Source organism: Homo sapiens, chromosome 20 (genome assembly GCF_000001405.40).
Source record: "Homo sapiens chromosome 20, GRCh38.p14 Primary Assembly".
Lineage (NCBI taxonomy): Eukaryota > Metazoa > Chordata > Mammalia > Primates > Hominidae > Homo > Homo sapiens.
Window position 1 is genome coordinate 13,144,530 of NC_000020.11, and position 25,403 is coordinate 13,169,932.

At 40.4% G+C, this 25,403-nt stretch overlaps 2 protein-coding genes across 6 annotated transcripts in view; one reads left to right on the forward strand and one right to left on the reverse strand.

Moving 5' to 3' along the window:
• Nucleotides 1-24,574, forward strand: part of SPTLC3 (serine palmitoyltransferase long chain base subunit 3) — a 160,132-nt gene extending 135,558 nt beyond the window's left edge. For 3 of the 5 annotated variants that reach the window (NM_018327.4, NM_001349945.2, XM_011529280.2), the window contains 3 exons: nucleotides 9,474-9,609; nucleotides 15,474-15,603; nucleotides 20,225-24,574. In NM_018327.4, coding sequence (NP_060797.2) covers nucleotides 9,474-9,609; nucleotides 15,474-15,603; nucleotides 20,225-20,338 — 380 coding nt within the window. In that variant the 3' untranslated portion in view covers nucleotides 20,339-24,574. Of the gene's footprint in view, nucleotides 1-9,473; nucleotides 9,610-15,473; nucleotides 15,604-19,827; nucleotides 19,943-20,224 lie in introns of those variants that run through there. The other 2 variants (XM_011529279.2, XM_047440255.1) reach the window with 1 other exon arrangement.
• TASP1 (taspase 1) overlaps nucleotides 1-25,403 on the reverse strand; it is a 534,161-nt gene that overhangs the window by 39,758 nt on the left and 469,000 nt on the right. The window lies entirely within an intron of this gene.

A 25,403-nucleotide genomic window follows, 5' to 3' on the forward strand; every position in this document is an offset into this window, starting at 1 on the left:
AAATCTATTGACTGAGGACAAAAATTTCTTGAGGCTGAATTATTCTCTGGTGTCTTCAGTTATTATCAATCATTATTTTTAGAGAATCAACAAACACTATATAATTTGTTACTTTCAGCAGTGGTTCTTAACTGGAGGTACACACCACAGTTACCCAGTGAGTTTTTCTGAAAGGTCCAACCTAGTCCTTCTGGAGCAGAATGTCTGCAGAGGGAGGTCTACTATGTGTGTGTGTGTGTATATATATATACACAGATTTTTTTGAGACGGAGTCTCGCTCTGTCGCCCAGGCTGGAGTGCAGTGGCGCAATCTTGGCTCACTGCAAGCTCCGCCTCCCAGGTTCACACCATTCTCCTGCCTCAGCCTCCCAAGTAGCTGGGACTACAGGCACCCGCCACCACGCCCAGCTAATTTTTTTGTATTTTTAGTAGACACAGGGTTTCACCATGTTAGCCAGGATGGTCTTGAGCTCCTGACCTTGTGATCCACCTGCCTCAGCCTCCCAAAGTGCTGGGATTACAGGTGTGAGCCACCGCACCTGGCCTACTATGTGTATTCTTGAAAAAAAAATTCTAGAAACCCTGATGTGTTTCTCTGGTTAAGAATCACTGATTTTGAGGCAAGAGAAAGAAATAAAGGGCACCCAAATAGGAAGAGAGGAAGTCAAACTATCTCTGCAGACAACATGATTATATATATCTAGAAAACCCCATAGTACTGGCCCCAAAGCCCCTCAGCTGATAAACGACTTCAGCAAAGTTGCAGGAAACAAAATCAATGTACTAAAATCACTAGCATTTCTATACACCAACAACAGCAAAACTGAGAGCCAAATTAGAAAAGAATCCCATTCACAATTGCCACAAAAAGAATAAAATACCTTGGAATAGAGCTAACCAGAGAGGTGAAAGATCTCTACAATGAAAATTACAAAACACTGTTCAAAGAAACCAGAGAAGACACAAACAAATGGAAAAATATTCCATGTTCATGGATAGGAAGAATCAACATCATTAAAATGGCTATACTGCCCAAAGCAATTTACAGATTCAGTTCTATGCCCATCAAACTACCAATGACATTCTTTACAAAACTAGAAAAAAAAAGATTTTAAAATTCATATGGAACCAAAAAAGAGCACAAATAGCCAAGGCAATCCTAAGTAAAAAGAACAAAGCTGGAGGCATCATGTTACCCAACTTCACACTATACTACAAGGCTACAGCAACCAAAACAGCATGATACTGGTAAGAAAACAGGCACATAGACCAATGGAACAGAATAGAGTGCTCAGAAATAAGACTGCATATCTTCAACCATCTGATCTTCAACAAACTTGACAAAAACAAGTAATGGGGAAAGGACTCCCTATTTAATAAATAATCAGCATCATTTATTAAATAGGGACAAATATAAATAATTCTGCCATAAAGCCACATGCATGCGAATGTTCCTTGCAGCACTATTCACAATAGCAAAGACATGGAATCAACCTAAATCCTTATCAATGACAGACTGAATAAAGAAAATTTGGTACATATACACCATGGAATACTATGCAGCCATAAGAAAGAACAAGATCATGTCTTTTGCAGGAACATGGATGGAGCTGGAGGCTATTCTCCTTAGCAAACTAACACAGGAACATAAAACCAAATACCACATGTTCTTACTTATAGGTGGGAGGTAAATGATAAGAACTTATGAACACAAAGAAGGAAACAACAGACACTGGGATCTGCTTGAGGGAGGAGGGTGGGAGGAGGGAGAGGAGCAGAAGAGAGAACTATTGTACTGGGCTTAACACCTGGCTGATGAGATAATATGTACAACAAACCCCCACGACACGTGTTTACCTATGTAACAAATCTTCACATGTACCCCGAAACCTAAAATTAAAATTAAAAAAAAGAATCACTGATTTACAAGGGTTCCCAGAAGGCCCTCAGCTTCCCATATTAGCTCATTTAATGTGTAAAATTACATAATTAATGGCTTGCTAAAATATTACTCTCTATTTAAATGCAAAGTAATATTATATCTTATCATTCATTTTATAAGTATTCAGGAAGCAATAATACTATGCAAATGTCTACATCTGTCTCATGGCACCTATTTTTGGTTATATATTATTTGATATCTGCCTTGCCTCCTGTTAGATCATTTGTTCCAAACAGTGTCAGAAATTTTTCATCTTCTATTGCCACCTCAGCAGCTGGCCTTGCTCCTGTACATAGTGAGTACTTTTCATTTGTGAAGTGTATAACTCCGTGAATGATGGAATTCACGCCTCATCATGAGCGAGTTTACCAGTTTTTCCAAAGAGCCAACTTTGATAATCTCCTAGGCACTGCCAATTTCCAGGTCAGCTGCGTAATGCCTTCATGATCTCCAAGCCTCTGTTTCCTCATCTGTGAAGTGGGCCCAAAAAGCCAGTTCCTGGCTCACAGTAGGTGCACAAGAAATGTCCATTCTCATCCTTGCTTGGGGATTAAATAGCTAACAGTGTATCTGAGCAGCTGGTGGGAGGTGGAGGCAGGGTGTTTTCCCAGAGCCCTCGAAATCAGGCCATGCCGACGGCTGCCCACCCCTGATGTCCAGCCTGCTCCTGCGTGCATTCCACAGGGGCAAGACTGAGCAGCCTGGAGAGCCCTTGGAACATGTGTATGTGACTATAAAACATGCTGTAGCCCTGGAATCCCGACATCAAAAGGGAGAGCTTCAGTGCCTGATAAAAATGTGCATTCCTCTTAGCAAACCACTCCAAATGTTCTTTTCTCCACCCCACTGGGAAGCTTGTCAGTGCTAATGTGATTCTTATGATTCTTGCTGCTCTGTAGCCTCTTGATCTTTACCGAGATCTCTCTGCCCCTGAGTGTGTTGGAAACAAAATGTCCTGTCTAGTGTTCAGTGCTTAAAATAACAGACGCTGGCTTCCTGCTGTCCATTGAAACTTTACTCCAAGGTCTCTCCCCATCACCCTCTGCCCCCTTGCCAAGCCAGGGGAAAAAGTCCAGGGTAAACTGGCAGATAGAGAAGCAGGGAGGGGCAGGGGAAATTAGGCATTCTTAGACCACTGCAGGCATTCTTTAATATCAATTTGATTTTCCCTGGGTTAATTTTTCAGAAATATCAACTTCTTGAGATGTGAGAAATGTTTTATGGAATGTGACTTCCCATCTCTAAAGACAAGGACCTCATTTTCCAAGCAATGCTGCCTAGGAGCATGTATGAGGTCATGCAGTCTGTATTCTGGACAGTGGTCATATGCTAAATAATTGAAGGAGGGAATGAGCTGGGTATATTTCTGAACATATATTTTCAAGCCTGGGAAATAGTAAAATAAGTCATCCCATGGTATCTGGGCATATTCATGTTTTCTGTTAGAAAACGAGATTGCAAAGTCTGCAGAAAATAGACCATGACAATGGTATTGGCTCACAAACTCACAAACTCGTCAACCCCATCTCTTTTGCTTAGGATTACGGGGGAAATGCATTCTCTTTTTTTGCATGCCAATGGTTTAACAGAGAAGAAATTTTCCTTCTTTAAGACAGGTCATTCTGGTAGTTTCAGCCATCTGTAATTCCTTCTGGGCCTCTGGGAGACTGAGTTGTCCTAAACATATTTTTGGAAATGCCACTGATCATTGTTTTTATTAGGCAACTGCAAAGCTTTGTAGTAAGAGGATTTGTGTTTTATTTGTTTTTCTTCCCCTGACCCAGCTGGTTTTGTTTTAACAGCATTGGAGGGGAGGTTAAAGTATTTGTGGCCTCCGTTAACCTAGCCTGTCTCTCAAAGCCAGCAAAGCCAGAAATCAGAAGAGATAGAACAGGAACAGACAGGTCATCAGCCAAGATAGGTACACCCTTGATTTAACCACCCTCAGGGGTGGGGTCGACAGGGAGGTTGATCTTAAGATGAGTGAAAGCTTCGGAGCATGTAGCTGTCGGGAGAGCAGGTCACCCCCACGAAAAGGTATCTCAGGAACCTGAGCACTCAGGAACTGCTGGGAAGTAATCATGCCAAACAAGAGGCTACCACATATGCCCATTTTTATTTGCCACACCCAGTGAAGGAGCATAGCTCAGCCAGGCTGCAATCAGATACCCAGAAAAGGCCATGCATGGCCCTAGGGGTGGACCAGAAATGGCAGCTATTTCTGAGACATCCCAGTCTGCTTGGCTGAACCTTGTTAAAACCAAAACTTATGCCAGGTCCCATCCCCAGAGATCCTGATTTAATGGGTCTGGGGTGCAGCCTGGACATAAGGTTTGCCAAGCTCTCCAGATGACTGTGAGGTGGCACTGAGGCTGCAGAGAACTATTGCCCAGCAGAAAATGGCAATTCCCCTTTCAACGACCTACTAAATGCCAGATGCAGTAGTAAACACTTTTCCCACATTAATTTCTTGATTTCTCCCAATTTTCCTGTAAGATAAGCTTATCTCTAATTTACAGCTAAAACTGAGATTTTTAGATTTTTAGGCTGTTCAGGTGGAGTTTGATTCCCATTCCACTTAACTCCAAAGCCTATTCCTTTTCCACTCAACAGCCTCCTCAGAGAATCCAAAATATGACAAAATAAATACTTACGGAAACTCTCCAGAGGGCTACATAAGAGATTATTTCATTCACTTATTTATGTGAGTAGGGACTTTCCCTGACTTCTGTGTAATATGTAGAAGAAAGATCAGAAACTACTTAATTGGAGACTCTGAGTGTCTTGAAGGGGATGTGGCCGCAGTGCCCAATCTCCAAAGCTTCCCTTTGCCATCCTAGCATGGCTGTCCCTGTACAAAAGGACATGCACCAAATATTGCTTCTGCTTTTGCAAATCACTCTTCAAGCAAGAATCTCAAAGCCCAACATAATTAATAAAATCATTTGCATCCTGTTTAGATGAGTAGCGTTTTATAGGTACAAATTCCACCTCTGTCCCCAGGCCTTCCAAGAGTATGAGAATGTTTTCAATTTTAAAGAATGAGCAATAGAGTAATTGAAAGGAGCTGTATCTTGGCAAACGCAAAAGACCTCAAAGGCATTTGTAGTAACCTATATGAGAAAGCGTGGCAACCACAAAGTGTGTCATAATGGCTTGTCAGCCATGCTGTGCTAAATGGTTTAAAGATAGGAAAGATAGGGAAGAATAAAACATTTAGTTCTTAGGAGTCAGATACCCCTGGATATCATCTGTTTGGTCAAGTCTCTGAAGGATCTGGAAGCAGGGAAATGGTGACATTAGCTGATGATCCAGTTTCTTGGGTTAATCAAGGAAGTAGGGACAGCCGGGGCCAATTAAGTAGCTAGGCAGCCAATGATAGATGAATCTTTATAGGCAAGCGCAAAGATAATGCCGTTGGGAAAAGCAATTGAAGTCATTCAGGCACTTCCAGGCCAGGAAATCCTCCTAGTCTTCAAGGGGGAACATGTAGGAATCATCAGGACCAGCCTGATGAAGTCATCTGTTCATTGTGTAGCTAATGATCCGCAAAAGTGCTGAATGCACACGGGGACAGGCCATATGGAATACATTTTGGTGGCTGAGATGTATCTGTGTGCCTTGATTTCCATCACCTTTAAAATAATCCTTACCATAGCCCTCTTTTCCTTTCCTTCTGTCCACAATCTCCCCCTACTCTTTATGTTCTTAACTCTCTAAACACAGTTTCAATGTATGGGTGATTTTTCTTAAGTAAGGCAAATATTCTCCTTCTTAATTTCTAGTTCTGCACTTCCAATAGGCTCTGTAAACATACAAGTTTCCAAGGGACACATCAGCATGTTATAAAATTCCTTTTGTTTTTTTAGCACAAAGGAGACTGTGTCTAAGCATATATATATACACAGATGTTTCTACACATCTCTGGATTCCTTACTTGTGTTCACATTGCAGATTTAGAATTGGGGATTTTGAAAGGAATATGAACTAAGAAACCATACTTGGAACTGCCTATCTCTTTCTTTAAAACCAGAGTTCCATCCAGGGACTCCAAAGTAAAGGTTTTCAATGAGTTGTCATGTTGATAAAACCAAGGAACACTATTCTATGTCCGGCTTTGTTTTCTCCCTCTCTGGTTGCTGCTATTTTGTCTCCCTTTCAGATTCATCCTACTCCTACTCCTTCCAATCATTAAATGTGGGATTCTTCAATTCCTGTAGTCTCACCTCATTTTTTCTTTTTTAGACAATCCATTCATCTTTCCAGCCTCATCTTGTCCCAGCTTCAACCACATCTTGCCTTGTTCACAACTTCTGTGTTCTTCCACAAATCACAAGACCATTGCACCTGTTTCCTAAGCCTGGAATACTCTCCTCTAGCTTTTTGTGTGGTTAGTACTTGCTTATCCTTCGGATCTTTGTTCATTCATCATTTATTGATTTTTTTCAGATTTGGTCCAGTCTCCCTCTTATGAGCTCTCATAACACCAGATAACATTTCTCTACACTGTGCATCCCAGTTGCAATTTTACATCCATTTGTGTGATTATTTTATTAATGTCTGTTTCTCTCACTAGACTATAAGCTCTTCTGTTTTTATATCTTACTGTTCCTATTGTTACTGACTCACCTTGCACTGCCCACCTCTCTTCTTTATAGGTTGCCACAGCTTCTACCAACCAATGGCTTACTCTGTCTCACAGATTCTGCTAATAAGCTTTTTTTCTGTGTCTTTCAATTTCTACTCTTACTACCAACTAAAGTTTACTACCATCCTCTCTAAATTTTTCACATCCACACTCTAATATCAAGAAGATCTGGTTTGTTTAATTTATATTTATTGTCTCTTTTTCAAAGCTCCTATGATAGACCAGTGTATGGCTTCCTTGCTAACACCCAAGTGGACTGCCTTTGGGTCAAGGGCATGCTCCATTCATTGTCTGTGGTCAGGATAGAGGGGCTGAGATGTCAGCATCCCTAAGAAAGAACAATAAGCCGGATGCTCTCTCCATCACAACCTGCCTGCTGGGAGCTGGCAGAGTTGGGGAGGGATCATCCTTGAGAACTGGAGTTGGGAAAAAGAAAGTAACAGAAAACAAGCATGGACAATTGGGGCATTTAGCATCCTCCTCCTTGGTCTGTGTTCCACTCAACTAAATCTCCATTTCTCTGCATATACCATATTGTTAACACAATTAAGGTGTCACAGAAGTGAAGTTCATTTAGGCCTGATGAGCAAAGGAAAACTTAAAGGAATATTTGAAGTATTTTGGGAGTGATAGAGCCTAGTGAAAAAATGTTAGATGTCTGGGTAAAGAAAGTGCCCTTTGGGTGCTTGTCTACACCTGGTTCACCTTCACTCCTTGGACACAGCCCTTCAGGACCTCTACCTAAAGTGAAGGGGGCCCTAGACTCCAACCTAGCGATATCCTATGCTAGTGATACCTTACCTAACCGCTCACAACATGAGGCTGTCAAACACTTGCTCAGCCTTCAACTCTCAACTGCCTCTACTAAAAAAAAAAGATATAATCATAATCCAAACAGCTGGCAGAAATGAGAGTTTTATTGATCTTCAGAAGAACCAATGACCACCATCCCTTACCTGGGTAGAGCATTATAGTGGAGGGGCTAACAACACAGATTCTGGAATCTAGGATTCTAGAATCCAATTCTGGCTTGGCCACCTACCAACTATGTAAATTTGTGTAAGTTACTTGGCTTCTCCTTGCGTATAACATAGGATTACAGTTCTTACACTAATTTGGTTGTTGTGATGACTAAATCAATAAATGTCAAGAGCTTATAACAGTGGTGACATTACATATGGGTGAGCTATAATTATTGTCGTTATTACTATTGTCCTTTAGAGGCTACCTGATCCAATTAGTAGCCACCACCTGAATTACTCATGACACATTTGGTTATAAGAGGCAGAAGAGGAAATGTATTGGCTGACACAGCAGGGACGTCCAAAAAAATGGTCTGGCACAGCTGGACCCAAAGGTTCAGATGATCCATCAGGACTCTCAGTGTCCTGCGCAGTGGCTTCTATGTGAGTCAATATCATTCTCAAGCAGGCTTCCTCCAGGTTAGGACAAAGATGTAGCTTGATAATTATCCCATGCTTAGACTTCTTCCTCAGTGGATCTAAAAGAAAGACTCAAATAGTCCCTAGTTGTGCTCCATCATCAAACCAATAATCAGGGGGATGAATTATTCCAACTGATTAAGACTGGCCCTCATACCACCTTGTAGAAAAGAGGAAGGGCAGGGCCAACCCTACTCAAACAGTATGGTTCTCTGGAGGAGGATGCTGAACACAAGATGCCCCCTGTTCAACCCTTTGAAAAGGCACAATCTGGGGCCATTTCTCTAAGAAGGGACCAGATGACTATGATTGACATGTTTACTGAAATGTTTACCCTATTTCCATCTGAAGAGTTACAAACACCCATGAGTGATGTTCAAAATATTGTATAACCTCTAGAGCAGAATCTCTGACCAGTTCGTCTGAACATCTCACCACTCAGAATGGAGGTCTGCTAAAGACAACCAATAAGACGAAAGACTGTAGTGGCACATTCCTGCCGAACAGCAATCCTGCATCAAATGCAAACTTTGGGCTGATTTCTAGGGGACTTCAATGTTTAATCCTATTCATTCTTATTGAGCAAACACTATCTAGCTTTGGCTGGCTTACTTACCCACCTGTTTTGAAGCAGGACCCGAGTAGACAGGCATCTTCAGGATGGGACTTTCTGCTCTTTCATCACTTTTTCATCTCACATGCGTGAACTCTGCACTGGGACACACACTTAGGACACAGGCTATAAGAGCTGAAGCACCAATAACCTTGACATGGACCCATGTATGTACTTTGCTTGTCTTTCTGTTCTGGGCCAATGTTGTCCTTTTTTCTGGCTTGGGAAAGCAGGGGTCCCCCTCTTTCCTCCCTTCTATTAGTCTACCACCAAATGCCTCAAAAAACAGCCCTAATCTCAGCAGGACTTATCTTTGTCTATGAATATGCTATCCCTACAAATTCAGATTGGATGAAGGATCCTTTGATTAGAGATTTAAATGAGGGACAATTTAATGAGCCAATTCAGCTTAGCTAAAAAGCATCTACCAATATCTGCTATGAAGTGTGGGGGGTGGGGGAAGTGGTTATGTTCCTTCTTATCACACTCCCTTCTCTTGAGTTGATGTTTTTAAGGTACTTTGCACAGAGTCTATACAAAATAGATACCTCCCCTGCCTCCCACCAGCCCTCTAGCGTATCCTGGCTTCAGTTGCTTGCAGCACCTCGTAGAACCCTCCACCTCCCTTCCTGCCTTCCAGGTGCAAGGTAGTACCTGGGCATCAGTGCCCACACCTGCTCCCCAGGAGATATCTCCCTTCCCTACTTCCTCCTCCCAGCTAGTGCTGCTGGCCTGCAGAAAGACTTAAAGATGCTTGCCAAGTTGACCGGACCTTTACTTCCCTCTTTCTAGTGGGAATTGATGGATTTCACGCCTGTCTCTTTTCAGGGCTGCAGAGAGTACAGCAACTTGCGAAAAACACAAGATACTTCAGACAAAGACTGCAGGAAATGGGATTCATTATCTATGGCAATGAGAATGCTTCTGTTGTTCCTCTGCTTCTTTATATGCCTGGTAAAGTAGCGTAAGTATCCAAGGCATCTCATAATCACACCTAAACCCCAAGGTGACCTAAGATGGCTTTTTGGCACAGGCGTTAGATTATGCATCTGGAATGGGGTGAGTGAGTTCAGAATTCACTCGTACGGCTTCTCGGAAGCCACCTGTCACTCTATCAGCTAGACCCTTCCCACAGGTCTTATAGAAAGGGAACCAAAGGTGCTGAGACTGAGCTCTCTCCCTAAATTCAAGTTCTGTGAATTTAGGGAAATCACTTATCTCCCTCAGCCTCACCTGTAAATTAAGCACAATCCTGAGCCTCCTTCTGACCCAAGATCGTTCTCAGGGAGAACTTCTGAAGATCATCTCTCCCCATATTACCATAAAAACAATGTGATCAGGCTCTGTGCTTTCTCCCATTGAACTCTGCAGCCGTCCTCAGAAGAGGACATTCTCATTTCAAGCGTGGGGAAGCTGAGGCTGAGAGCAGTTAAGCAACCTGCCCAAAGTCACACAAGTCAAACAGCAGTAAAACTAAGATGCAAAAACCCAAACTGAGGCTCACATTGAAGCTCATGCTCAGTTTCTCATGCCCTTACTGTGAACCTGTTTGGGGGTTGTTTACTTGATTGCAACTTTGAAACAGCATTAGCAACAACTGCATAAAGAGGAAAACATGACTTTTTGTCAGTTTGGCAGGGACAATTTTATACATGAGCCCTTCTCCAACCTGCTGGAGACTAATGTAATTATACTAATTACATGTTGTTAAAAGGAAGTTAACTGGCAGGGCACAGTGGCTCATGCCTGTAATCCCAGCACTTTGGGAGGCTGAGGCAGGTGGATCACCTGAGGTCAGGAGTTCGAGACCAGCCTGGCCAACATGGTGAGACCCTGTCTCTACTAAAAATACAAAAATTAGGTGGGCATGGTGGTGCATGCCTGTAGTCCTAGCTACTAGGGAGGCCGAGGCAGGAGGATCACTTGACACCAGGAGGCAGAGGTTGCATGAGCAGAGATTGTGCCACTGCACTCCAGCCTAGGTGACTGGGTGACAGAATGAGACCCTGTCAAAAAAAAAAAGGAAGTTAACTAAGCTCCTTTCTCAAGGTAAAATGTTTATTTTTATCTCTGACCAAGCACATGATAGAAATTCATATTCAACATACTACGCATCAGATTCTAGAGGTCCTAACTCCCCTCCAATGTAACCCATTGCTGGAACTTTCTGTTTGACTCTCTAATAGCCTGACTAGATTGGCAGAGTACTTGAAGTATTGAAAAGTACCAATAAAAGAGGTTTGGGTCTTACTTGTGAAAACTCATGGAGGGCAAGACTGAGTTATAAGTTCCTAAAAGACAGATTCTTCAGAGTATGCTCTTGGGTCATTTTACCACAGCAAAATCACAAGCAGTTAAAACACACATGAAGGCTGGGCGCGGTGGCTCATGCCTGTAATCCCATCACTTTGGGAGGCCCAGGCAGGCAGATCATGAGGTCAGGAGATCGAAACCATCCTGGCCAACATGGTGAAACCCCGTGTCTACAAAAAATACAAAAAACTAGCCGGGCGTGGTGGTGGGTGCCTGTAGTCCCAGCTACTCGGGAGGCTGAGGCAGGAAAGTGGCATGAACCTGGGAGGTGGAGCTTGCAGTGAGCCGAGATTGCACCACTGCACTCTAGCCAGGGCAACAGAGCAAGACTCCGTCTAAAAAAATAATAATAATAATAAGTTTTTTAGCATGCCACATCATTCCCACCAGTTGGCCCTTTGTTCACAGATCTGGGTCAGGAAAACATTGCATGAAGTATCTGAGGACATAATGTGCTACAGACATGTTATATATCATACTGCTCTGTGATAATGTTAAGGAGGGTTGACAACAGTGATTGAAAGTAGCAGACAATTCAAAGATCTTTAACCATCTGATTTTTGAAGACACATACAAACACACACACACACACAGACACACATACATTTATTCAAAATGATTGGGGAAATGATGTGTGTTGGAAGAAATATTCCAAACTTGGCTCAGGTTTATCTAATATTTTATCATTAGCTCAAAAGAAGGCACTGAAAATAAACTTGTCCAAGGTATAAAACACATAATTCTGGAGTGTTACAATGACAGTAGGGAGTGTTCTGGATAGTTCCAACTTTAATAATAAAAGCCAGAAGTAGAATCCCAACAGGTTGGAAAAATGAACCAACCCAATGAGAAGAGTCCGTAAGTAGTGAAAACAAATGCATGTAACTTCAAGAATTCACACAATATGCTATGAACGATATGCTTCATATAAAAGTTATGCTCTATGGTGTGATGAAAGGTTTGGAATCAAAAAGAAATTTGATTCTTCCTCTTCCTAGCTGGGGATTCTTGGACAAGTTACTCAGCTTTCTGAAGCTCCAGTTTTCTCATTTATAAAACGGGATATGATAGTATCTTATTTCATAAGGTTACTGTGAAGATTAAACAAAATGATGTCCATACAGCATTTGGCATGTTACCTCTTATATAAGAGCTATTCAGTGTTAGCTTTCATTATTAATAGCATCAATTAATAAAGTCATTAATAATGTCATTTTTAGTAATGTGTACAAAGCACTTAATATAGTAGTTGGCATGCCATAAGCATTCAATCAGTGGTAGCCATTTCACTACTACTCTGCAACAATGATGATCATTATCAGTTTCAACTGAGCGCAAGGTTGAATCACCACGGTTGCATGGCTCTCCAAAATAATTATTACAATTTTTGGTTGCATTACTCAAAATAAAATGTCCAGAAAAAATAGTAGGTAAAGATCCTGCTACACTCTGCTTCCATATTGCTATATTAGATGCTGGATAATATGTCAAACAATCTTGTTTCTTTCAACTTAAGATTGTTTTTTAAGAAGAGCTAATATCACAGAGTACTAAATATATGCTAAGTAAGGCTATTAGACCTCAGCGATTACCCACGGAGGGTAGGATGTTTAGCCCTAGTTTATAAATGAAGATGCTAAGACTTAGAAAGGTCAAATTACTTTCTAAAGCCGGGTACGGTAGCTCATGCCTGTAATCCCAACACTTTAGGAGGCTGAGGCAGATGGATCACCTGAGGTCAGGAGTTTGAAACCAGCCTGGCCAACCCTGTTTCTACTAAAAGTACAAAAAAAAAAAAAATTAGCTGGGCATGGTGGCAGGCACCTGTACTCTCAGCTACTTGGGAGATTGAGGCAGGATAATCGCTGGAACCCGGGAGGTGGAGGTTGCAGTGAGCCAAGATCATACCACTGCACTCCAGCCTGGGCAACAAGAGTGAAACTCCATGTCAAAAAAAAAATTACTCTCTAAGACTCACACAGGTTGTAGGCAGCAGAGCCCAGAATTCAAAGCCAGTTCCATTTGCTTCATAAACTAGAGCTCTTTTGAACACACAGCACAACCTCTCAAGCTTTAGTCCATAGGAAAAAAATGCACATCTCATTAAAGCAACACAGAGTCTAATTATTTTTAATGTCATCATTGGTGATTCAAAAGGCAACAATCACTACAAACAGAAAAAAAAAAAATCTGGGTCACCTAAGGAAACAGAACAGGTTAGTTACAAAAGGTAATATTATCTATTACAGGTAGGAGTTGCTGGCAAGAGTTTGCCCTGCTGTCTGGCTGTGTTTCCTTCTGTGATATTTCTTTGTTGGAAGTTTATATGTAGAGACATTTTTTGAAATAGGGCGTTAATTGTATAAGCCACTGTGGAAGCACTTCTTCCATTTGGTCATTTAAAAACCTTTGATTTTATTAAAGAATGGTGATCTCTCCACATTTCCTACTATGCAGAATGAAAATATAGTCTGTAGCCAGTTATCCTTTTGAACAAAGCCTTGTTATAACTCTACCACTGGAATCTTCTATAGAGCTGTGCAATGTGGTTTTACCCATAAAACATACACTTAAACAATCAAGAATATATTGTATTTGGTACTTGGTAAAGGGTTTGCATTTTTTCCCCTGTTCATGTAATACACTTGGAAGATGGTGTTATACAAGAGGTAGTGATTCTGCATACAATGCAATGCTAATGTTTATTATCATTATTATTATTTCACAAAGTTTAGTTTCTTTTAGCCTATTGCCAATTGCTTTGGGGAGTACAAACACAGAGGCTCATTATATAAAATTTCCAGTGCAATCATATATATTAACTTAAGAACACTAGCTTTAGTAGTGTAAGGTTTAAATTCAAAAATGCTCCAGGGAGACGCCAGGTTAGACTAATGAATCAACAGAGTCATATATTTTGCCCTGCATTCTTTGGCAAAACGTGCTTCCTTTGGCACAAAGAGAAACATGCAGACAGTGAAAGCGGTCTTCTGGGAGTCCTGAAAACTGGCCTGAGATCATGGGTCAGGTGGTTTGTACTCTAGCAATAAAAGCACTTGACTTGTTTCTCAGACAATTATGAGCTCTCATTCTGTGCAGTTCCGTGGGCAGCCTTCCATAGGGTGATCAAGAAAGAGAAAGAACAGCCTCTGTTTTCAAGCTTTCTCAGCTAGAAAGCTTCATCTCCTTCTAACCTTCCTAGTTGAAATCAAAGGGCTAATGTTGCCTCGCCCAAGCCAGGGAGCCAGAGAGGCTGTGTGTCTTGTGGGTCCTGCAGTCTCCATTGCTTCATCTGATAACCTATGTTCTATCTGAAACAACCAAAAGGCAGACTGCTCAACAGCAAAACAAGTGAATGGAAGAGCAGGCTTATTCTCCACGTCTGGTTCAAGAATTCTTCCTGAGCTGTGATTGGAATGTTTCTCTGGTGCTGTCAGCTTCCAGCCTAAAATAATACACCAGCAATCTCTTAATGCTAAGAACAGATCTGAGGCATTTACCTCACTTATGGGTAAAGTCACTCAGTAGTTAAGTTTTCCTGCAAAGACTAACAGAGCCCAAAGGGGAAAAAGAGTCACTTGGGAGTACATGCCTTTTTGTCTGACCTTGGCTCTCAGCACAAGATATTTACAGCCTTTGAGCTTGATATTCTAGAATTGTTACAGAGATTAGCTCTGGAAAAGAAATAGACTAGAAGGATAAAGGGAAGGAATCATAGCTTATGAAGGTTTTACTCTGCATCAGACCGCTTTCTAGTTCTATGACTTAACGTCCTATAGGCTGTAAGGTTCTCTGCGTGAACACTTCTTTCCTGGCCTCCTTTCTGCCCCATTCCTCTTAAACTCAGTTGCTGAGTTTATTATCCCTGTGCATCCCTGGGCATGTTCATTCACATATGAAACAATCAGGAGACCTTGCTATTTCTTATCTCTGATTTGATGGAAAATATAATCTTTGGCGCTGCAGTGGGAATATTGGCTTGGGGTTGGATACTACAGACCCTCTGATCTTGGTCTTCAAATTATACTCATTAAGTATAGGCTCATTGAAATTTCCACATTGTATTATTGGTATTAAGTTTATAAAACATATAGGTTTACAATTAATATAGATTCTTTCTTTATGGAATTGCATTATAGGAACTATTTGGTTTTTATACCTAGGGACCCTGCAGATGGATTTTATATCACTGCAGATTTGTTAAACCAGAGTCATAAACATCAGCATTTTCTGCTTGGTGTCAAAGACTCAATATCCACAATTATCTAATGAGTGTGTCAGACCCATAATACCACACACACACCATCATGAGTGGCACCAAGTGACTGACTGCCTGTTTATTTGTCAATTTTATTTGACAGAAGTTTAAAAACTTCAATCATCTTCCACTTATTATCATAAAAAAGAAAAAAGAAAAAAGAAAAAATCAATTAGCCATATTCCTTTTTTGTCAGGATAATTTTGTCTTTTCCCAACTAACCACTTTTTTTTTTTCTTTTTTTGCTTTTCCTTAAGGGCTTTTGCAAGGCATATGCTAGAGAAAAAAATTGGAGTGGTGGTCGTGGGATTTCCAGCCACTCCCCTCGCAGAAGCTCGGGCTCGGTTTTGTGTTTCAGCGGCACATACCCGGGAGATGTTAGACACGGTGAGTACACCACAGGCCAACGGGATCTCAGTACCAGTACCTTGGATTCAAAGCAAGTCCTTTTGTTGAGACAGCTTGGGGTTCTCTGGGTTTCTCTTGGGTTATTTAGGAAAACAACACTGACAAAAGTCACTGCCAAAAAACAAGAGCTCGTCAACAACAGCCAACACTGTGACCACTCAGTAGATAGAAATGAAAATCAGTTTAGTGAAGATTTCAATCAGTGTTTTGGTTTCCTACAAAAGACTGACTGAGTAGCCAAATGTTCTTCTATTTACTTGATCTTAAATGCAAAAGCTGGTCTAAAATGCTGTTTTAGACTTAATTACATGCATCCTGACATTTTTCATAGCCACTAAATCTGCCATAATAAAATATGACCCAACTAAGCAACATGTTGGAAAACCAACAAGAACAAATCTACATTACAGCAGCACCTAAGTGAGGTGGAAATGATTTTAAAATTGCCTTTTATTGTCCCTCGATTTCCATTGTTATGTGAATGAGTAATATCAGAGAACTAAGCCATCTACTCAGTTTGGAGTTAATGGGAAGAGTCACATAACATAAATGCAGTTTTGCAAACACTATTGAGAGTCAACTATGTGCAAACTTGGGGCAAAAAGTCTAGGAGAAGATGCTAATAAACAAGCAACACATATAATACCAGACAGAATGAATGAATCTTGAAGAAGAAATATAGAAAACTGTGGGATCATGAAGGTGGGGTGAATTATTAGAGTGGAGAAGATTCACAGGGGAGGTGGCTTTTGAGCCAGGCCTTTTTAATAAAGCTTATCGAGCATCATTCAAGACTTCCAATCAGTGGAGTGACACAATCATGTCATTATGAAATAAACGTGACAAATGAACTGGAGAGGAAAGGGGCAAAAGGAAAGGATCTAAGATGTAGCTATTTAAACAAAACAAGAGATGACAAGGCTAATGGTAGTGGAAACAAAAGAAACTAATCCATGAACAAATATTACAAATGAATGGAACTGCCATGACTTGACAAATGATTGGATGTGGTGCATATGTGGGAAGAGAGAATCAAAGACAATTTGAGGTCTTTAGCCCTGATGAATAGAAGGATGGTGAAGCACTTAAATGAGATAAGGTATACAGTAAGGAACAGCAAATTTTCAATGGGAGTGGGGGAATAGAATGAGCTCAGTCCTAGACATGTTGAGACTATGTGTCCATGGTCCACCTATAGAAGAAAAATAAGGTTCTAGAGCTTAGGAGAGTATGCAAAGCTGGAACTGCTATAGTTTAGGGAACTGAGGGATCCTTACAGCCAACAGTAGAAGATGTAATTGTCCAGATATGAGCAAGAGTGAACAGGGCAGACTCCTGGGGAGTGCCTACATTCCAGGGTAGATACAGGAATCGCAGGTGGGGACCCAGACTTACATGGAACTAGAGCAGTCAGGAAAGACATGTTCAGTGTAGTATTAAACTCCATACAGAGGAGAAAGTTTCAAGAAGGAGGAGGGTCAAAATGCCCCTCAAAACTGCAGGAAGTTTAAATGCAGTGAGTGATGAGAAGAAACTATTGGATTAGCAATTAGTAGGAACTTGATGTTCCATAGAGTAGGCATTTTAAGGGAATGAAGGGAACAGAAATAATAAAAAAATAAAAGAGTAAAGAGGATAACTTGAGTTTGAAATTATACACGTACACATGTGCACACACACGCACACACACACAGAGTTGCCATGTCCTTCGTCTTCACCAGTATAGCCTCAAAACATAAACCATTGTATTGTACACAGTAGGTACACAGTACAAATTATTGAGTAGCATGTTAACAACTGAGCTAACCAGATTTTGAGATGAGTGAACTTTGTTTTCTTTACACCCTTCTATATTTCCCAGATTCTCTAAAATGAGTATGTATTTCCAGAATGTGAATTTTAACAAATTGTTTCTTTTAAATGAAATGAGTTGGTGTTAAGAAAAGACAGGCAAAACTTTCAAGAAGTCTGACTGTAGAAAGAAAAATAGGTTTAGAAAATACCCTTGAAAATGTAGAAGGCTTGAGCATGTTTACACATTAAGGGAAGAAGACAGTGAAGAGGGGACCTTGCACAGAAGGGAGAGAAGAGAGCATGGCCGGGAAGCAAGTTCCCTGAGATGGCAGGAGGGACACACAGCATGGATGAATTTGTAATTTTGTGCTCCAAGCAGCACTGAGGTATTCATGTATGTGATTCTCTTCACAACTTCTTAATTGCTGCAAAACACCTGCTTTGAAAGGATACTGAGACATCAGTCATCTAGACAAATGCCTCTAAACTGTTGAGATCATGTGCCCATCTCAACAGAAAATTTTGAGCAGTTCCTTAATGTACATGTAAGAGAAAATGGAAAATGACCCTGATGAACAGCCAGTACATTAAGGTAGCAATTGAACCTAAAGGCTCATAGACTAGAAATAATATTAGACAAATGCACTCTGCGACCACATTTGGACAAGACAGAGACAAGGCCACAATACTTAATGTCTCCCTCTTCTGACTGACATGTGTGACAGTTGCTCATTCACCAATAACAACTCTAGCCTCGCTTTCATTCTCTCGCCTTTCAGATAGAAATTATAAATATATAGCCAGCCAGTGAACTGCTCCCACTTCTTAACAGCATCCAACCCAGAACTGGTCCCTGCTTCCTTAGAGTCATCTCAGGCACAAGCTCAAATGCAGTGAGAAGCCACTCCCATCTTCCTGTCACTAAGATGCCCACGGTTCTTCTGCAGTGTCCTCCCTCTCCCATCTCAGCAAGCTAAAGAAACCTAACTCTGAGCACGAGTGTGTTCTGGGTGGTCTTGGATCAGCAGACATTAACATAAATTCTTTATAAATGATCTATGCAATACCAATATATTACGTACATTATATAAGAGACACACAAATAAAAGTTTAAAAGGTTGAGATAAAAATGAATAGAGGTCGGGCGCAGTGGCTCACGCCTATAATCCCAGCACTTTGGGAGGTTGAGGTGGGCGGATGACCTGAGGTCAGGAGTTCGAGACCAGCCTGGCCAACATGGTGAAACCCCATCTCTACTAAAAATACAAAAATTAGCCAGGCGTAGTAGCATGTGCCTGTAATCCCAGCTACTCGAACTGCTGAGGCAGGAGAATCACTTGAACCCGGGAGGCGGAGGTTGCAGTGAGCCGAGATCATGCCACTGCACTCCAGCCTGGGCAACAGAGTGAGACGCTGTCTCAAAAAAAAAAAAAAAAAAAAAAATAGAAATCCTAATGTTTTCCTCCTGCATCCTCCATAAATTATCTCACAGATGCCCCAAATGTGCAGATCCTTCACTTTGGATACCACTGAACTAGTCCATCCCCCACCTTCAGCAAAGATTGCTAGAAACTATCCCAGAGAGGTGTCATTTTAAAGATAACTTTGGTTACTTTTTCTTAGTACTGAGATTTGATGTAGGAAATTTAGAAAAACAGGGAAGAACATTTTAAATACTCATACTCCTACCACCAAGAAATCAATTACTGTTAACAAGTTGGAGGAAATCTTAATTAATGTCAGTTTGAAAGATTTCCCAAAGAGGAAAGTCCATAAGATCTATTAGTCACCCATTCTAACATTAACAACCCTCACCTTACCTTTTCAAAGCATTAGACCCTAATATTATCTTCCTCCTCATTTGGCAGGTTAAGAAAAACAGGCTCAGAAAGGTTAAAAAGGCATGACCAATACCACAGGATTGGTGATATACTAGAATTGAAAATGACCTTTTTTTTATTTTATTATTAATATACTTTAAGTTTTAGGGTACATGTGCACAACGTGCAGGTTTGTTACATATGTATACATGTGCCATGTTGGTGTGCTGCACCCATTAACTCGTCATTTAGCATTAGGTATATCTCCTAATGCTATCCCTCCCCACTCCCCCCATCCCACAACAGTCCCTGGTGTGTGATGTTCCCCTTCCTGTGTCCATGTGTTCTCAGAAAATGACCTTTTTTTACTTCCTGGATCTCATTTGTTTCATGTGCAAAATGGGGGATACATGTACCCACCTAAAGTAAGAGAGTTGAAACAGACAAGTTCTCAGTCCCTGTGAGTTAAGTTCTAGTATTTTCTGGGACACAGAGATGAGTATTTAAAAGCAGGAGGCCTGGGGTAGCATGAGAGGACAGAGGATGATGTTAATCAGCTCCCGCAACATTCCTCTTTGTTCTTGGCCAGGTGATTTGCTGTGTCATGAAGATATAACTTCAAATGCATTCTGCAACCTTATCTTTTTCTTCCACAAGACTACATATAAGTCACTACATTTTAAAATAAAACCTTTTAAGGGTAAGCATGGGTCACATGTTTTTATTCTTCTCTTCACACTCTCAAAATAAAATAAACATTCATAGTATGGAGTTAGACCACTAAATAAAATTAATTAGCATCTAACATTCCTCTAGGGTCTTAAACCACAACCTAATGGTACGGATCTTGCTTCTTTTCTTTAAAATCAAAGAAGCTAGCAAACTAAGACTGTGTGTCTTTGTGAGGCTTGCTATTAATCTGGGCTCTGCAAAGCAGGGCTACTTAGGTGTTCAATGATAGCTATTGGAAAGCAATCTCATTGCAGGTTTTAGAAGCTCTTGATGAAATGGGTGATCTCTTGCAACTGAAATATTCCCGGCACAAGAAGTCAGCACGTCCTGAGCTCTATGATGAGACGAGCTTTGAACTCGAAGATTAAGTTTCCTGGTCCTGAATGACACATAAAGACTTTGCGAGAAAGACCTCCCTCCTTGCCTCACAAGGAATATAAATGGATTTCTCCCCCTTCCTCAGGACAATTTTGGTTCCCAGACCAGCTTGATTGAACTGAGGGAGACGTTGTTGTTTTTAATGTCTCCAGCTTGGACTGCAGAGACAAAAACATGATTCCAGATTTAAGTCTCTCTTCTTCCAAGTATTCTACTAGAAATACACACACACACACACACACACTTCTGAGAATATTTTTAATGGCAATAAGCCTGTGTTTTAGCTGCTACTGTGCAGACCCTTTCAGGGATTCCAACCAAATGCAAATGAGAGAATTTAAAATTTTTATTCAGTAAGTTCACTATGTGTTTACTTATTCCATCTGCAGATGTAAGTGAGTGTGGTGGACAGTAGCCACCTTCCTTGTTCCACTCATAAAAGCATCAGCTAGATCTCATCTGTATCATGGGAAGTTCCAGGCAGGAGGGTAAAGAAATGTTGTTTCTACCATTTGTCACATTTGGACGTTTTTCACAGACAAGTGTCAAAAGACATAGTTAATGTTTCGAGGGGGAAAGCAGAACTGATCAACTGCGACTAGAGACGTCTTTGAAGGAAATTTTCCTTTTCCTCTTGCTGGTCTCCTACAGTTTTACAGCTGAGCTTTTGAGGTTTGGAAAATTCAAGATGTTTGTTTCATAAGAAAAGGGGCAGAAAGCAAGCACAAGACACTTTTAGGTCTAGACTAAAATGGTAGTTACAACAATTTGAACCTTGTTGGTGCAGTGCACGGTGAATGCTTACCCTGCACAGCCTCTATTACCTTAAGGAATTAGTTGTCATTTTCCTATTGAATTTTGAGTAAATGGTGAAATTCAGTGTCCTTTAGAATCGACTCCCAAGACTATATTTGAAGAATGCATTGATTCAAGAAGGACATTTAAAAGCAAATTCTGACTTTTTCAAGACCAACACACTTGTTTAGGCCTATTAAATTGTACTATCACTTGTTACATGCCCTCTGAATTGGGAGAAAGTGGGCTTGCACACTTTGAGGTAACTAACTGTAATTTACTTGTGTTCTCTCTTTCTTGCTCTCCTTCTCAACATGAACACAAACCTCTATGGAAAAGTAGCCTCTTGTTAATCTGATCTAGTTTGTATGGAAAAAGCCCATGGAGAACCTTATCTTTAACAAGCTCCCAGAGGGTGCCCAGATTTGGAAATTCTAGAGAGCAGTGGTGACCTTTTAGCAAAGCTTCTGTAACAGTTCGAATGAGTTGCAGAACATTCCACTCCATCAAATGACACTGTAAACAAATCACTTCAAGAGAGGCTTGGTTTTGTGTGGCACAGATGGACCCAAGCTTTCATGCTGTGCACTGAGATAGAAACTCCACCCGCAGCGCCTGCGATGGATGGAGCAGTGTGCCCTGATGCTCAAAGCGTATTAAAGGAAAAAAAGTGATCAGCATGGAAAGTTTTTATGGGGAAATTATAACTCCAAGTGGGTGCATTGGTTTAAAAATGGATCACAATGATAGAGTTCTTCATGAATGTTTACAAGTTGTAAGGAATACCGTTAGTGAAAGAGGAAAAGAAGTGGGTTCTGAAAATGCAGTTTCCCATCCAATGATTTTGATAACAAAATTCCAACTTTTCTCAATGAAACTGATGCAGTATTATTTGTGCAAATAAAATGTGTCATAAATATGCAAAGAAAGGGAGACATACTGTTCTTATCTTGAATATGTGCATTTAAATGAATTGTCCAAAATGCATAAATGCCTTGCGTTCTATAAAGGAAACAGGAGGTCAAAAAGACAGCGAGATATCTAGTCCTTCCACAAGGTATGGAAAGCAATAAACATCTTCCTTTCTTTCTGGATCTGTCTGTGATGTTTACACACACCTTCACATCTACACTTCAAGTTTTAAGCCCCTAGACATGTGTCTTCATGAGCAGGAATGTCCACTATTATTACTTTCATGGAGGATATTGGGTCTAATTCATTGTGGGAAACTACTTACCTACCCAGCATGGAAGGCAGGGAGGAAGTTAGTCTCTTTTCATCAAGATTCAAGAGTACAGGGGCAATTTATTACACTGCAATGTACAAAACAAAAGGACCTGTTTCTGTTAGAGAGTCCATGTTGAATATACAGGTATGAGAACAACTGTTGATATACAGGTATAATCCAAGTAGAATGCTTCCACAGTGCATTAGAAGGTGCCCAAGCTCCACAGGGCCAATAATATTAGAGTATATGTCATATAGAATAAGGTTAATTAGGAGGGTGATTGTGAATAATGAGATTTTTAATTTTTTTAAGAAAAAGCTCTCAAATGCTAGGCTAATAAGTTCATGATTTTAATTCATGATTTTAATTCATGATTAAAATTATTTGATTATTGAGTCTTGATAATTATATCATCAACCATTACCCTCTACATCACCGCCCCGACCTTAGCTCTAATTATATCAGAGCCAAAAATGTGTCTTTGGTTAGATCTGTTGGAAAAGAGAATTTTCTATAATGTTATGCGCACTCAGCCCTTCTGTTCACATTTACACACATGCACACACACATACACATATGCATTTTTCCTTTACGGAGTAAGCAACTATGAAAATCTGGTTGGTTGAGAAATAAATGGAAGATGTTCTTGAAAATGACCTCAGGAAAGCAGAAGATAAAGGTTCCAGATGATATTTGTAAGGAGGCTATCTCTGTATAATAAGGAAATGGCATAGACTTATTCCTAATCTCATTATGAAACGATGGTGTCATGGACGTTTAACCATATTGCCTTTCAGCATGCTTTGATTTTACAGAGACGACAGGCTTTGGAATTTACTAGGAAGCTGGCTAAAATCCATACCCCTAGGCCCTACACCAGACCTTTACTGAAACATAATAGTTGTAGTGCCCAGGAATCTACATTTTTAACCAGCCTTCCTGCGTGATTCTAATCTATGCCAAAATTTAAGAACATTATTCAAACTCTAATTTGATAAACCAATTGACTCTAATAGCAGGAACCTTGTTCTGATTCTCTTGTTCATAATTAAGTGTATATATACTGGTAAAATTAATTTATTCCACAGTCAACCTTCTCTTCTCATTGGGACATTTTGTTCCCATTTTCCAAGTAACTTCTCTTTCTACAAAAATTGATCCAATATTGAAGAACCATCTGCGATTCATTTGGGTAAAATTATGCCTTCTTCAGTTTTCTGTATCATTCCCTATAAGATGCCCATTTGCTTTGAATGTGGTATCTTTCTTTTCTTTCTTTCTTTTTTTTTTTTTTTTTGAGACAGAGTTTTGTTCTTCTTGTTGCCCAGGCTATAGTGCAATGGCAAGATCTCGGCTCATTGCAACCTCCACCTCCCGGGTTCAAGCGATTCTCCTGCCTCAGCCTCCTGAGGAGCTGAGTTTACAGGCATGTGCCACCAAGCATGGCTAATTTTCTATTTTTAGTAGAGACAAGGTTTTTCCCTGTTGGTCAGGCTGGTCTCGAACTCCTGACCTTAGGTGATCCTCCCACCTCGGCCTCCCAAAGTGCTGGGATTACAGGCGTGAGCCACCGTGCCCGGCCTGAATGTAGTATCTTTCTTCTGTTTTCTTTTCCTGCTCTTTAAAAAACAACCTTCAACCTCTGATTATTTATTCCAACAACAGCTCTTCAGTAGGGTAAAAGTCTTAACAGTTCTTCAAACGAACAATATTCTTTTGTATTTTTCTTCAGAGATAGCAAATGTTATAAATGGCCTACTCTGATTTAAAAACCTAAGTTCCGATGATGATGAAACATTAACTCTTAAATATACATTTTGATTTATAGCAATAATAACAATTGTAACAACAGCAATTAAGAACAGCATCTGGTGAATTCTTGGCAATGTTTCCTGGTCTCAAAACAGTAAGAACAATTTGAAGTCTGTTCTTTAGAATGCCCTACTCAGCTGCATAATGTTTAGAAAATTAAAGAGTCTGTATTTTAAATATTTTTAGGTAATTATTGCGGGACATTGTCTTATGGTGTCCTGATGTACGTGGGGTGTGCATGTGTGTGTGTGTGTGTGTGCATGTGTCTTTGTGTGTGTGAGAAGGACAGAGAGAAATGTATGTTTCACTGAAACATTTGAAACGACCAATTTCACTTTATTGTGCCTGTAAAATGTTAGTTTTAAAATAAATAAAAATAATATGAAAATAATTGATGGTTTTCTGTTGATTTAGTTTAGGTTACCCTGAAAAAAGACTGAGGTAGAGATTTGTATTTAGGAATTCCACTGGGAAAATTGGTAGGGGTGGCTGGAGCTGGCTTGCACTGTGATAAGAACTAATTGTGCACATTTCTTTCTAATTCCTCATTCAGTGACATCAGATTGGTAGCTTGAAATTGGCCACAATGGGAGTATTTACACCATGGAAATTGGCAGACACTACAAGTCAGGGCTCTAGAGAGCTGTCTGTTAAACATTTACTAGCACACCACTGAGACCACCTACAATGGTACAATACAAACGTAAGAGTAAAGGAACAGGATTGGAAAGAGGAAGAATTTGAACTATGATGTTATCATAGCAAAGGCCTCAGCCAATTCCATGGAAACTGGGCAACTGAGATGGTCCTTTAGGGTCAAGTCAAAATGACAAGGATGCCAGATGCAAGCTATCAGTAGAGGTGTGGGGCCAGGCATTACCTTGGGCAGGTCTGTTGAGCTGACAACAATGCCTGGGAAGGGACTCAGCTGTGATTTATTATTTTTTAAATGATTTCTAATTGATCCATTTTTTTTAAAGTTTTATATCAGAAAATGTTAAACATACGTAAAATCGAATAGTATAATGAGCCCACATGCACCTATTACCCAGCTTCAAACATTACCAATTTATGGCCAGTCTTTTCTTCTATTCCCCAACCCATTTCACTCCCTCTCTCACCAGATTGCTTTGAAGCACATCCCAGAAATCATATTATCAGTAAACATTTTACTGAGTATCTCTAAAAGGAAGGGGTGTCTTAATTTATTCTTCTTTTCA